Source organism: Homo sapiens, chromosome 13 (assembly GCF_000001405.40).
Source record: "Homo sapiens chromosome 13, GRCh38.p14 Primary Assembly".
Classification (NCBI taxonomy): domain Eukaryota; kingdom Metazoa; phylum Chordata; class Mammalia; order Primates; family Hominidae; genus Homo; species Homo sapiens.
The window spans coordinates 29203661-29217870 of NC_000013.11; the positions used below are offsets into that span (position 1 = coordinate 29203661).

The 14210-nt window shown below is 40.9% G+C and overlaps 1 protein-coding gene across 13 annotated transcripts in view, besides 1 other annotated feature; it reads left to right on the forward strand.

The window, feature by feature from the left end:
• MTUS2 (microtubule associated scaffold protein 2) overlaps window positions 1–14210 on the forward strand; it is a 685985-nt gene that overhangs the window by 383698 nt on the left and 288077 nt on the right. The gene's annotated exons all lie outside the window — the stretch shown is intronic.
• Window positions 7622–8121: an enhancer, noted in NCBI's record as "H3K4me1 hESC enhancer chr13:29785419-29785918 (GRCh37/hg19 assembly coordinates)". NCBI's record gives its function as "activates a minimal SCP1, AML or CMV promoter by ChIP-STARR-seq in primed H9 embryonic stem cells {active_cell/tissue: H9 hESC(primed)}" and the evidence as "EXISTENCE:reporter gene assay evidence [ECO:0000049][PMID:30033119]".

Below are 14210 nucleotides of genomic sequence, written 5' to 3' on the forward strand. Positions count from 1 at the left end.
CAAGGGAATCTCCTGGTCTGTGGGTTGTGAAGACCATGGGAAAAGCATAGTATCTGGGCTGGAATGCACTGTTACTCACGGTACAGTCCCTCATGGCTTCCCTTGGCTAGGGGAGGTAGTTCTTAGACCCACTAGCACTTCTCAGGTGAGGCAGCACCCCACCCTGCTTCATCTCACCCCCCATGGGCTGCATCCAGTGTCTAACCAGTCCCAGTGAGATGAGCCTTGTACCTAAGTTGGAAATGGCAGAAATCACCCACCCTCTGCATTGATCTTGCTGGGAGTTACCGAAGCTGTTACTTTTTTTTTTTTTGTCTGACACGGGGTCTCGCTCGGTCACCCAGGCTGGAGTGCAGTGGCATGATCTTGGCTCATTGCAACCTCCACCTCCCAGTTTCAGGTGATTCTCCTGCCTCAGCCTCCAAAGTAGCTGGGACTACAGGTGCCCGCCACCACGCCTGGCTACTTTTTGTATTTTTAGTAGAGACGGGGTTTTGCCATATTGGCCAGGCTGGTCTCAAACTCCTGACTTTGTGATCTGCCTGCCTCGGTCTCCCAAAGTGTTAGGATTACAGGCATTAACCACCATGCCCGGCCATGACTGGAGCTGCTTCTATTCGGCCATCTTGCCAGCCACCCTACCTTTTCTTTCTGTAATTCTTATATGAGCTAAATGATTTTCATGGTCACCAGGCTGCGGATGGGCCGGGGTTGCCAAGCCTTCCAAAGCCGCTGCTTCATGTAGGCCAGGTGAGCCTCGGAAAAGTCCCACCCAGTGATGCTCAGGAGCGGTGGCCTGTTTGGAAAGCACCTCCAGGCCTCTGGGACCATCTCTCTCTGGATATGGGCATAGTCCCAGCCAGGAGGAGCCTTGGGAAGGGGCTGGGTGGAGACCCAGCACTTCCCATTGAGATAGATGACTTTGCAGCCATCCTTAACCTGGGAGCGGAGGATGGGCCTGGACCACAGGGCCCAATGTTTCTGGGCTCAGGGCAGCACCCTGGCCTGGGGCCAGCCCAGAAACCAGCTCAGGTAGCCGCCCATGACAGCAGTGTAGTAGTCGGAACGTTCCCTTAGAAATTCAGCTTCCAGAAGTTTCCGAAGTCTGCAGCCGGGACCACGTGTACACAGCTTCGTGACCATTGGCCTCAGAACACTAAAAGCGCGCAAAGCATCGCTCGCTGGGCACCTGCTGGCCATAGGGTCCCTCATGGGCCAGGCCAGTGCCTCGCCAAATCGGGGACATCATGGGGTGCAGCTGCAGTGGGGGCACTACCCAGATGATCTGGGGGACCAGGGAAGCTCAAGCCTCCCTCCTTCCCACTGATGGTCCCAGTCAGAGGGACCATCAGAGGGGCCTAGCAGCTGCCTTTAATTTTGTGATTGACCTTTAAAGGTAGAAGACAGAATTTCTGCCTGGTCCTGAAAACTGAAGGTACCTGTTAACAGAAGGGTGTTCTCTTTGATCAGTGTGAAAATGAACACAATAAACTTGGATGCTCTTTCAAAGAAAAACAAATCATTTACTCATACAGTAAAGGTGATGTGTGTTTCATTCTTCTAGGATGGATGATAATGTCACTTTTTGCAATTTTGCTCCTAAGAAAATGGAGAGTTGTCAGGTTTTGTTTTAGCACAGGCAATGTTGATTTTATGTGGATTTCCTAAAATTTCCAGCCTTCATACATCCATGAATAGATTGTCTGTCTCTGAACATTAATGTCATTTCTCTCTTTTCGCTTTTGTTTATTTTTTTAATTATTTCAGTATTTTTTTGGGGAAAGGTAATGTTTAATTACATGTATAAGTTCTTTCGTTGTGATTTCTGAGGTTTTGGTGCACCCTTTACCCAAGCAGTGTACACTGCACCCAGTGTGTAGTCTTTCATCCCTCACTCACTTCCCACCCATTCCCCAAAGTCCCCAGAGTGCATTGTATCATTCTTATGCCTTTGCATCCTCATAGCTTAACTCCCACTTATGAGTGAGAACATGCAATGTTTAGTTTTCCATTTCTGAGTTACTTCACTTAGAATAATGGTCTCCAACTTCACCTAGGTTGCTGTGAATGCCATTATTTCATTTCTTTTTAAGGCAGATTAGCATTCCATAGTATGTTTGTACCATATTTTCTTTATCTACTTGTTAACTGATGGACATTTGGGATGATTCCATATTTTTGCAATTGCGAATTCTGCTGTCATAAACATGTGTGTTCAAGTATCTTTTTCATATAATGATTTGTTTTCCTCTGGGTAGATACCCAGTAGTGGGATTGCTGGATCAAATGGTAGTTCTACTTTTAGTTCTTTAAGGAGTCTCCACACTGTTTTCCATAGTGGTTTGTACTAGTTTACATTCCCATCAGCAATATACAAGTGTTCCCTTTTCACCACACTCCCACCAACTTCTATTGTTTTTAGATTTTTTGATTATGGCCGTTCTTGCTGGAGTAAGGTGGTATTGCATTATGGTTTTTATTTGCATCTTCCTGATGATTAGTGATGATGAACATTTTTGCATATGTTTGTTGGCTATTTTTATATTTGAGAATTGAGAATTGTCTATTCATGTCTTTAGCCCACTCTTGATGGGATTATTTGTTTTCTTCTTGCTGATTTGAGTTTCTCATAGATTCTGGATATCAGTCCTTTGTCAGATGCATAGTTTTCAAAGATTTTCTCCCACTCTGTGGGTTGTCTGTTCACTCTGCTGATTATTGCTTTTACGGTGCAGAAGCTTTTTAGTTTAATTCAGCCCCAACTATTTATCTCTGTTTTTCTTGAATTTGCTTTTGGGTTCGTAGTCATAAAATCCTTGCCTAAGCCAATGTCTAGAAGGGTTTTTCTGATATTATCTTCTAGAATTTTTATGGTTTCAGATCTTAGATTTAAGTCTTTAATCCATCTTGAGTTGATTTTTTTATAAGGTGAGAGATGAGGATCCAGTTTCATTCTTCTGCATGCGGCTTGCCAGTTATCTCAGCACCATTTGTTGAATAGGGTGTCCTTTCTCCACTTTATATTTTTGTTTCCGTTGTTGAAGATCAGTTGACTGTAGGTAGTAGGCTTTATTTCTGGGTTCTCTATTCTGTTCCATTGGTCTGTGAACCTATTTTCATATCAGTACCATGCTGTTTTGGTGACTGTATCCTTATAGTATAGTTTGAAGTCAGGTAATGTGTTGCCTCCAGATTTGTTCTTTTTGCTTAGCCTTGCTTTGGCTATATGGACTCTTTTTTGGTTCTATATGAATTTTAGAATTGTTTTTCTAGTTCTTTGAAGAATGATGGCGGTATTTTGATGGGAATTGCATTAAATTTGTAGATTGCTTTTGGCAGTGTGGTCATTTTCACAATATTGATTCTACCCATTCATGAGCATGGCATGTATTTCCATTTGTTTGTGTCATCTGTGATTTTTTTCGGCAGTGTTTTATAGTTTTCTTTGTAGAGGTCTTTCACCCCCTTGGTTAGGTGTAATATACTCCTAAGTGTTTTTTGTTTGTTTGTTTCTTTGTTTTGCAGCTATTGTAAAAGGGGTTGAGTTCTTTAATTGATTGTCAGCTTGGTTGCTGTTGGTGTATAGCAGTGCTACTGATTTGTGTATGTTGATTTTGTATTGTGAAACTGCTGAATTCATTTATCAGTTCTAGGAGCTTTTAGGATGAGGCTTTAGGGTTTCTAGGTATACCATTATATCATTGGTGAACAGCGACAGTTTCACTTCTTCTTTACTGATTTGGATGCCCTTTATTTCTTTCTCTTGTCTGATTACTCTGGCTAGGACTTCCAGTGCTTTGTTGAATAGAAGTGGTGAAAGTGGGCATCCTTGACTGGTTCCAGTTCTCAGAGGGAATGCTTTTAGCTTTTCCCCATTCAGTATAATGTTGGCTGTGGGACTGTCATAGATGGCTTTTATTAACTTAAAGTGTATCCTTTCTATGCTAATTTTGCTGAGGGTTTTAATATAAAGGGATGGTGGATTTTGTCAAATGCTTTTTCTGTGTCTATTGAGATGATCATGTTATTTTTGTTTTTAATTCTGTTTATGTGGTGTATCACATTTATTGACTTGCGTATATTAAACCATCCCTGCATCCCTAGTATGAATCCCACTTGATCATGGTGGATTACCTTTTTTATTTGCTGTTGGATTCCATTAGCTAGTATTTTGTTGAGGATTTTTGCATCTATGTTCATTATGGAGATTGGTCTGTAATTTTCTTTTTTGTGTGTGATGTTCTTTCCTGGTTTTAGTATTAGGGTGATACTGGCTTCATAGAATGATTTAGGGAGGATTCCCTCTTTTTCTGTCTTTTGAAATAGTGTCAATAGGATTGGTACCAATTCTTCTTTGAATTTCTCATAGAATTCAACTGTGAACTCATCTGGTCCTGAACTTTTTCTTCTTGGCAATTTTTTTATTATCATTTCAGTCTTGCTGCTTATTACTGGTCTTTTTGGAATTTTAATTTCTTCCTGCCTGGTTTAATCTAGGAAGGTTTTATATTTCCAGCAATTTATCCATCTCCTCTAGGTTTTCTACTTTGTGCATGTAAAGGTGTTCATAGTAGCCTGCAATGATCTTTTGTATTTCTGTGGTATCAGTTATAGTATCTCTTCTTTTGTTTCTAATCGAGTTTATTTGGATCTTTTCTCTTCTTTTCTTGGTTCCTCTTGCTAATGGTCTATCAATTTTGTTTATCTTTTCAAAGAACAAGCTTTTTGTTTCTTTTATCTTTTGTTTATTTTTATCTCAATTTTCTTTAGTTCTGCTCTGATCTTTGTTATTTCTTTTCTTCTGCTGCATTTGTGTTTGGTTTTTTTTGTTTGTTTGTTTCTCTAGTTTCTCGAGTTGTGACCTCAGACTGTCCTCTTTCAACTTTTTGATGCAGGTATTTAGTGCTCCGAACTTTCTTTCCTCTTAATGCTGGTTTTGTTGTATCCGAAAGGTTTTAATAGGTCGTATCACTATAATCATTTGGTTCAAAGAATTTTTAAATTTCCATCTTGATTTCATTGTTGACCCAATGATCATTCAAGAGCAGGTTATTTAATTTCCATGTATTTGCATGGTTTTGAGTGTTCCTTTTGGAGGTAATTTTTAGTTTTATTCCACTGTGGTCTGAGAGAGTACTTGATATAACTTCAATTTTCTGAAATTTATTGAGACTTCTTTTGTGGCCTGTCATGTACTCTATCTTGGAGAATGTTCCATGTGCTGATGAATGTACATTCTGCAGTTGCTGGGTAGAATGTTCTCTAAATATCTAAGTCCATTTTTTCTAGGGTATAGTTTAAGTCTATTGTTACTTTGTTGACTTTCTGTCTTGATGACCTGCCTAGTGCTGTCATTGGGGTACTGAAGTCTCCCACTTATTATTGTGTTGCTGTCTGTCTCTTTTTTAAAGTCTATTAGTAATTGTTTTATAAATGTGGGAGCTCCAGTGTTAGGTGTATGTATATTTAGGATTGTGATATTTTCCCTTTGGACTAGTCCTTTTATCATTATGTAATATTCCTCTTCGTCTTTTTTAACATTTTGCTTTAAAGTTTATTTTGTTTGATATAACAATAGCTACTCCTGCTCACTTCTGGTGTCCATTTGCATGGAATATCTTTTTCCACCCCCTACCTTAAGTTGATTTGAGTTCTTATGTTGTTTGGTGAGTCTCTTGAAGAGAGCAGATACTCGGTTGGCGAATTCTTATCCATTCTTCCATTCTGTATCTTTTAAGTGGAACATTTAGGCCATTTACATTCAATGTCAGTGTTGAGATGTGAGGTACTATTCTATTCATCATGTTGGTTGTTGCCTGAATACCTTGTTGTTTTTTTTTTTCATTGCATTATTGTTTTATATATCCTGTGAGTTTTATGCTTTAAGGGGGTTCTATTTTTATATATTTTGAGGATTTGTCTCAAGATTTACAACTCCTTTTAGGAGATCTTGTAGTGCTGGCTTGGTAGTGACAAATTTTCTCAACCTTTGTCTGAAAAAGACTGTATCTTTCTTTCATTTATGAAGCTTAGTTTCATGAAATACAAAACTCTTGGCTGACAAATTGTTTTGTTTAACAAGGCTAAAGGTAGGACCCCAATCCCTTCTGGTTTGTAGGGTTTCTGCTGAGAAATGTGCTGTTAATCTGATAGGTATTCCTCTATAAGTTACTTGTTACTTTTTCCTCACAGCTTTTAAGATTCTTTCCTTGTCTTCACTTTAGATAACCTGATGACTAGGTGCCTAGGCAATTATCTTTTTGCAATAAATTTCGCGGGTGTTCTTTGAGGTTCTTGTATTTGGCTATCTAGATCTCTAGCAAGGCCAGGGAAGTTTTCCTTGATTATTCCCTCAAATGTGTTTTCATAACTTTCAGATTTCTTTCTTAGAATCACCAATTATTCTTAGGTTTGGTCATTAAACATAATCCCAAACTTCCTGGAGGCTTTGTTCATTTTTTAAAATTCTTTTTTCTTTGTCTTTGTTGGAATGGGTTAATTCAAAAGCCTTGTCTTCGAGCTCTGAATTTCTTTCTTCTGCTTGTTTGATTCTGTTGTTGACACTTTCCAGTGTATTTTGTGTTTCTTTAAGTGTGTCCTTCATTTTCAGAAGTTGTGATTTGTTTTATTTATTTATGCTATGTATTTCTCTGGAGATTTTTTCATCCATGTTCTGTAACTTTGTTTTCTTTTAAGTTGGTATTCACCTTTCTCTGGTGCCTCCATGTGTAGCTTCATACTCAAACTTCTGAATTATTTTTCTGGCCATTCAGAGATTTCTCCTTGGTTTGGCTCCATTGTTGGTGAGCTAGTGTGATCTTTTGGGAGTGTTAAAAAATCTTGTTTTGTCATATTACCAGAATTGTTTTTCTGGTTCCTTCTCATTTGGGTACCCTATGTCAGAGGGAAGATCTAGGGCTCAAGGGCTGTTGTTCAGATTCGTTTGTCCCACAGGGTGCTCGCTTTATGTGGTGTTCTCCCTTCCCCTAGGGATGGGGCTTCCTGAGAGCTGAACTGTAATTATTGTTGTATTTTTTCTGGGTCTAGCCACCTAGCTGAGCTACCAGGCTCCAGGCTGGTACTAGGGAGTTTCTGCAAAGAGTCCTCTGATGTCATCTGTCTTCAGGTCTGTCAGCCGTGAGTACGAGCACCTCCTCCAGTGGAGATAGCAGGGGAGTGAAATGGACTCTGAGAGAGTCCTTGTTTGTAGTTTTTAGTGCACTGGATTAGTGTTGGTTGGCCTCCAGCCAGGAGGTGACGCTTTCAAGAGAGTCTCAGCCGCAGTAGTGTAGGGAGGATACAAGCTTGCCCTAATGCCACCTGGGTGGTAAGTATTTGGTTTCTTTGGTGATGGGCAGGGCCATAGAGTTCCCAAGAGATGGTGTTCTTTGTCTTCAGCTACCAGGGTGGGTAGAGAAAGACCATCAGGTGGGGGCAGATTTAGGCATGTCTGAGCCCAGACTGTCCTCGGTGGGTGGGCTTCCTGTGGCTGTTGTGGAGGATGGGGGTGTGGTTCTCAGGCCAATGGAGTTATGATTCCAGGGAGATTATGCCTGCCTCTGCTGGGTCACGCAGGTTGCCAGGGGACTGGGGGAAAGCTGGCAGTGACAGGCCTTACCCAATGCCCATACAGCCAGCAAGGCCAGTCTCACTCCCACCATGTCCCCCCAACAGCACGAGAGGGACATGCCCCAGGCTACAAGCCTCCCTGCTGAGAAAGCAAGCGGGACTTTCAGGTTTCACGCCTCCCCACCTGCAGCAGCTTCTGTGCGCCTATCTGTACTCCCAGATCACCTCCTCTCCAGACTCTGTCCAGGAAACTGCACAAATTGTTTCAAAGTTCAGCTGGAAGTTTCCTTCTCCCTGTGATCTTTCCCCAGTTCCTCTGGCACCCCTCCCCAAGAACTCCTGAGAGACAAAAGCAGAAATGGCTTCCCTGGGGTCTGAGAGTGCCCACGGAACTCTTCCCACTGCTTCCCCTACCCCTATATTTTGCTCAGCTCTCTAAATTTGTCTTAGCTCCCTATAAGGTCAAATCCTTCTCCCGTGATCTGGTTCTTCAGGCTCCCCAGTGAGGATGTGTGTTTGGGGGCAGTCGTTCCCCTTTCACACTTTAGACACTCATAGTTTGTCAGTGTGTCATGGAGCCCGCAGCAACAAGCCACCTCTTTCAAAGGGTCTGTGGATTCTCTCAGCTTTCCTGGTGTGTTCTTCAGTAGTTCTTGGAGCCAAAGTTCACAGTGTGTCTCCACAAGCTGCTCTGTCCATCTGAGTGGGAGCCTCAAGTTAGTCCTGCCTCCTGTCTGCCATTTCCCCTCACTTTCTAATTTCTATTCTTTTGACTCTTCTTCTGCTTATACTGGGTTTGATTAGTTGATGTCATTGGTTGGAGGTCTTTCTTTCATTGTGTATGTGTTTAGTACATAAATTTCTCTGTATATGTTGTAGTTACAGTCCACAAATTTTGACACATTGGGTTTTCATCTTCATTGAGTTCAAAATATTTTCAGATTTCCCTTTTTGATTTCTTCTTTGGTCCATGGTTATTTGGAAGTGTATTGTTTAGTTTGCACATATTTAGGGACCTCTCAGGGATCTTTCTGGTTATTGATCTCTAATTTGTAATTCTAATGTGGTTGGAGAACATACTTTGGATGATTAAAAAAAAACCCTATTCCTCTCCTCACAACACCTCTGACACCACATGTGTGGGGTTTCCACACCAAGCAATTCTCCACTTCTCTGTGGACACCACCCGAGTGTCCTACAATTTGATTCAAGTATAACACTAATTATGCAGAGTTAGCACAGACCATACAGGTTAAGGGCTCAATCTCACAAGACTGCCCCTCACTTTAGGTGCCAACTACAAGTAGTAGGTGTGTATGTGACCCACACTTCTGTCTGACTTGGCTACAAATTGGAGGTTCTCACAATCTTCTCCTTAAGTAATAACAGCTCACAGAACTCAGGGAAACATCTTACTTACATTTACCAGTTTATTATAAAGGATATTATAAAGGATACAGATGAACAGCTGGATGAGGAAGTACATAGAGTCAGGTCCAGAGGGGTCCTGAGTGTGGGAGCTTGTGTCCCCACAGAGAGAGGTTGCTCCACCCTATTGATACCTGGATGCATTCACCAACCCAGAAGCCCTCTGAATCCTATACTTTAGGAATTTTTATAAGGCTCCGTCACATAGGCATGACTGACTATTAACTCAATCTCCAGCGCCAGAGGAAGGGGAGAGAGGGAGCTGAAAGTTCCAAGCTTCTAATCATGACTTGGTCTTCCTAGTGACCAGCGCCTATCCCAAAACTATCCAGGAACCACCAAGAGAGTCTGTCATTAGAGTAAATGATGCTTCTGTTACCCAGGAAATTCCAAGGGATTTAGGAGCTTTGTGACAGGAACTGGGATCAAAACCAAATGTTAGAACAAAAGATTCTTCTAGCATCCATATCACTCAGCAAAGTGCAAGGCTTTTAGGAGCTCTGTGTCAGAAATTGGGGGCAGAGACCAAATATATATGTTTCTTATTATGTCACAGATGACTTGAATCCTTTTAAATTTATCGAGCCTTGTTTTATGACCCACAACAAAGTCTGTCTTGGTAAACATTTCATGCCTATTTAAAAACAGTGTCTACTCTGCTGTTTCTATGTGGAGTGTTCTACAAATGTCATAGGTCAAGTTGTTTGATAGCATTGTCAAGTATTCTATACCCTTACTGATTTTCTCTCTATATGTTCTTTCAGTAGCTGAGAAAGGGCTTGAAACATCAGACTATAATTGCAGACTTGTCTATTTCCTTTGTCAACTTTATCAGCCTTTCCTCCATATATTCTGAAGCTCTGTAAGGTATATAAAGTTTTAGTTTTATCATTTTGATGAATTGGCCACTTTATCATTATGAAATTAACTTCTTTATCCCTGGTAATACTTTTTTCCTTGAAATCTACTTTTTTCATTGTTAATAGAGCCACTTTGGCTTTCTCTTAGTTTCAGCATGGAATAATCTTTTCATACTAACCTTTTCATCTATTTGTCTATTGATTTTTAAGTAGGCTTCTTATAGGCCATATATAATTAGATCTTATATTTTTATCCCATCTGAAATCTCTGCCTTTCATATACATTTGATGTTATTACTGATTTAATTTAGTTTAAATCTACCATCTTGCTATATTTTCTATTCAACCCACATGTTCTTTCTTTTCTTTTGTTTTCCCTGTTTTACTGCCTCCTTTTGGCACTGAATAGTTTATGATTCCATTTTTTTTTGTTCATGTATTAGCTATCTGTCTCTTATTTTTGTGTTCTCAGTGGTTGTTTTAGGGTTCATAATATTAATGTATGTTTTTATCCTTTAACTTTCTAGCTTCAAGTGGTATTATATCACTTTATATATGATGTATGAATCTTACCAACAGCATACTTCCATCTCTTTCCTGGCATTTGTGCTATTGTGATTAGAGATTTTATTTCTACATATGTTATGAACCTATACTACATTGTTTTTTTTTTTTTGCTTTCCATTTGCTTGGTAAGTATTCCTCCATCCCTTTATTTTGAGCCTATGTGTGTCTTTGCATGTGAGACGGGTCTCCTGAATACAGCACACCGATGGGTCTTGACTCTTTTTCCAATTTGCCCCAGTCTCTGTCTTTTAATTGGGGCATTTAGCCAGTTTACATTTGCAGTTAATTTTGTTATGTGTGAATTAATCCTGTCATCATGATGCTAGTTGGTTATTTTGCACATTAATTGATGCAGTTTCTTCATAATGTCGTTGGTCTTTACATTTTGGTATATTTTTGCAGTACCTGGTACTGGTTGTTCCTTTCCGTGGTTAGTGCTTCCTTCAGGAGCATCTTATAAGGCAGGCCTTGTGGTGACAATATCTCTCAGCATTTGCTTGTCTGTAAAGGATTTTATTTCTCCTTCACTTATGAAGCTTAGTTTGCCTGGATATGAAATTCTGAGTTGAAAATTCTTTTCTTTAAGAATGTTGAATATTGGCCACCACTTTCTTCTGGCTTGTAGGGTTTCTGCAGAGAGATCCACTGTTAGTCTGATGGGCCTTCCTTTGTAGGTAACCTGACCTTTCTCTCTGACTGCCCTGAATATTTTTTCCTTTGTTTCAACCTTGGTGAATCTGATGATTATGTGTCTTGGGGTTGCTCTTCTCGAGGAGTATCTTAGTGGTGTTCTCTGTATTTCCTGAATTTGAATATTGGCCTGTATTGCTAGGTTGAGGAAGTTCTCCTGGATAATATCCTGAAGTGTATTTTCCAACTTGGTTCCATTCTTTCTGTCACTTTCAGGTACACCAATCAAACATCAGTTTGGTCTTTCCACATAGTCCCATATTTCTTGGTGGCTTTATTCATTTCTTTTCATTCTTTTTCCTCTAATCTTGTCTTCATGCTTCATTTCATTAAGTTGATCTTCAGTGTCTGATATCCTTTCTTCTGCTTGATGGATTTGGCTATTGATACTTGTGTATGCTTCACGAAGTTCTCTTGCTGTGTTTTTCAGCTCTATCAAGTCATTTATGTTCTTCTCTAAACTGGTTGTTCTATATAGCAGTTCCTGTAAGCTTTTATCAAGGTTCTTAGCTTCCTCATATTGGGTTAGGACATGCTCCTTTAGCTTGGAGGAGTTAGTTATTACCCACTGTCTGAATCCTACTTCTGTCAATTCATCATATTCATTCTCTGTGCAGTTCTGTGCCTGTGCTGGTGAGGAATTGTGATCCTTTGGAGAAGAGGTGTTCTGGTTTTTGGAGTTTTCAGCATTTTTTTGCTGTTTTTTTTTTTTTTTTTTTTTCCCCATCTTTGTGGATTTATCTACCTTTGATCTTTGATGCTCATGACCTTTAGATGGGGTTTTGTGTGCATGTTCTTTTTGTTGATGTTGATGTTATTTCTTCCTATTTGCTAGTTTTCCTTCTAACAGTCAGGCCCCTCTATTGCTGGTCTGCTGGAATTTGCTGGAGGTCTACTCCAGACCCTCTTTTTGTGGGTATCACTGGCAGAGGCTGCAGAACAGCAAAGATTGCTGCCTGTTCCTTCCTCTGGAAGCTTCATCCCAGAGGGGCACCTGCCACATGCCAGCCAGAGCTCTCCTGGATGTGGTGTCTGTTGACCCCTGCTGGGAAGTGTCTCCCAGTCAGGAGGCACGGGGGTCAGGGATCCACTTGAGGAGGCAGTCCATCCCTTAGCAGAGCTCGAGAACTGTGCTGGGAGATCTGCTGCTTTCTTCAGAGCTGGCAGGCAGGAACGTTTAAGTCTGCTGAAGGTGTGCCCATAGCCGTCCTCTTCCCCCAGGTGCTCTGTCCCAGGGAGATCGGAGTTTTATCTGTAAGCCCCTGACTGGGGCTGCCGCCTTTCTTTCTGAGATGACCTGCCCAGTGAGGAGGAATCTAGAGAGGTAGTCTGGCCACAGCCACTTTGCCACACTGCCGTGGGTTCCACCCAGTCCAAACTTTCTGGCAGCTTCGTTTACACTGTGAGGGGAAACTGCCTACTCAGGTTTCAGTAATGGCGGATGTCCCTTCCTTCATCAAGCTCGAGTGTCCCAGGTCGATTCAGAGTGCTGCTGGCAGCGAGTATTTCAAGCCAGTGGATCTTAGCTTGCTGGGCTCCATGGGGTGGGATCCGCTGAGCAAGACCACTTGGCTCCCTGACTTCAGACCCCTTTCCAGGGGGAGTGAATGGTTCTGTCTTGCTGGGGTTCCAGGTGCCACTGGGATACGAAAAGAAACTCCCGCAGCTAGCTCGGTGTCTTCCCCAATAGCTGCTCTATTTTGTGCTTGAAACCCAGGGCCCTGGTGGTGCAGGCACATGAGGGAATCTCCTGGTCTGTGGGTTGAAAAAACTGTGGGAAAAGGATAGTATCTGGGCTGGATAGCAGAGTCCCTTATGGCTTCCCTTGGCTATGGGAGGGAGGTCCCCAGCCCCTTGCACTTCCCGGGTGAGCTGACACCCCACCCTGCTTCTGCTCACCCTGCATGGGCTACACTGACTGTCTAACCAGTCCCAATGTGATGAACCGGGTATTTCAGTTGGAAATGCAGAAATCACTGGCCTTCTAAATTGGTCTCACTGGGAGCTGCAGACTGGAGCGTTTTCTATTCGGCCATCTTGGAAAAACCTCATGGCTGTACAATTTACAGCTCACCAGTTTTACAAATTCCCACCAACAGTGCACAAGAGTTTCAGTTTTCCCACACCCTCCCTAATACTTATCTTTTGCATTTTTGATAGTGCCCATCCTAGTGGGTGTGAGGTGGCATCAGTATGAGCTATTTTAAACAGAAGTACTACAAGCATCCATGTTTCAACCATGAAAGTTTAACATAATATTTTCCATAATTTGATTCTTAAGGAAATAGACGTTAATTACCCTTTAGTTGAATTTTTCTGTAGACCTCTACTCAACCCCAATGTCCTCTTTCATTCTGAATTTGCTACTTATCAGTTTTGTGCCTGTGTTTTATAATTTTACTATACATATTTGTACCTATACTTAAAATATAGTATTTTATGTATTTTTAATTTTTACAGCAATGGTATTATATTCTGTGACTTGCTTTCTTCATGATCCATTATTTTTGAAATATATTCATATTGATACATCATTTAGCTTGGGTTTTTCCTAATAACTATTACATAGGCATACCTTGGAGATACTGCAGATTCTGTTTCAAACCACTGCTATAAAGGTGAGTCATAGGACATTTTTGTTTTTCAGTGCATATAAAACTTATGGTTACACTATAGTCTATTAAGTGTGCTATAGCATTATGTCTAAAAAATATACATACCTTAATTTAAAAATACTTTATTGTTGAAAATTCTAATATCACTTGAGCCTTCAGCAAGTCATAATTTTTTTGTCGTGGTGGTTCTTGCTTTGATGGTGGTTGCTGAAGGTTGGAGTGGCTGTGGCAATTTCTAAATTTAAGGGAACATTGAAGTTTTTTACAATGACTGATTCTTCCTTTCACAAATGATTTCTCTGTAACACATGATGCTGTTTGATAGCATTTTACCAACAGAACTTTTTCTTTAATGGAGTCAGTCTTCTCAAACTGCTGCTGCTGCTATATCAACCAAGTTTATCTAAGATTTTAAATTCTTTTTTGTCATTTCAACAATGTTCACAGGCCAGGTGTCCTGGCTCATGTCTGTAATCTTAGC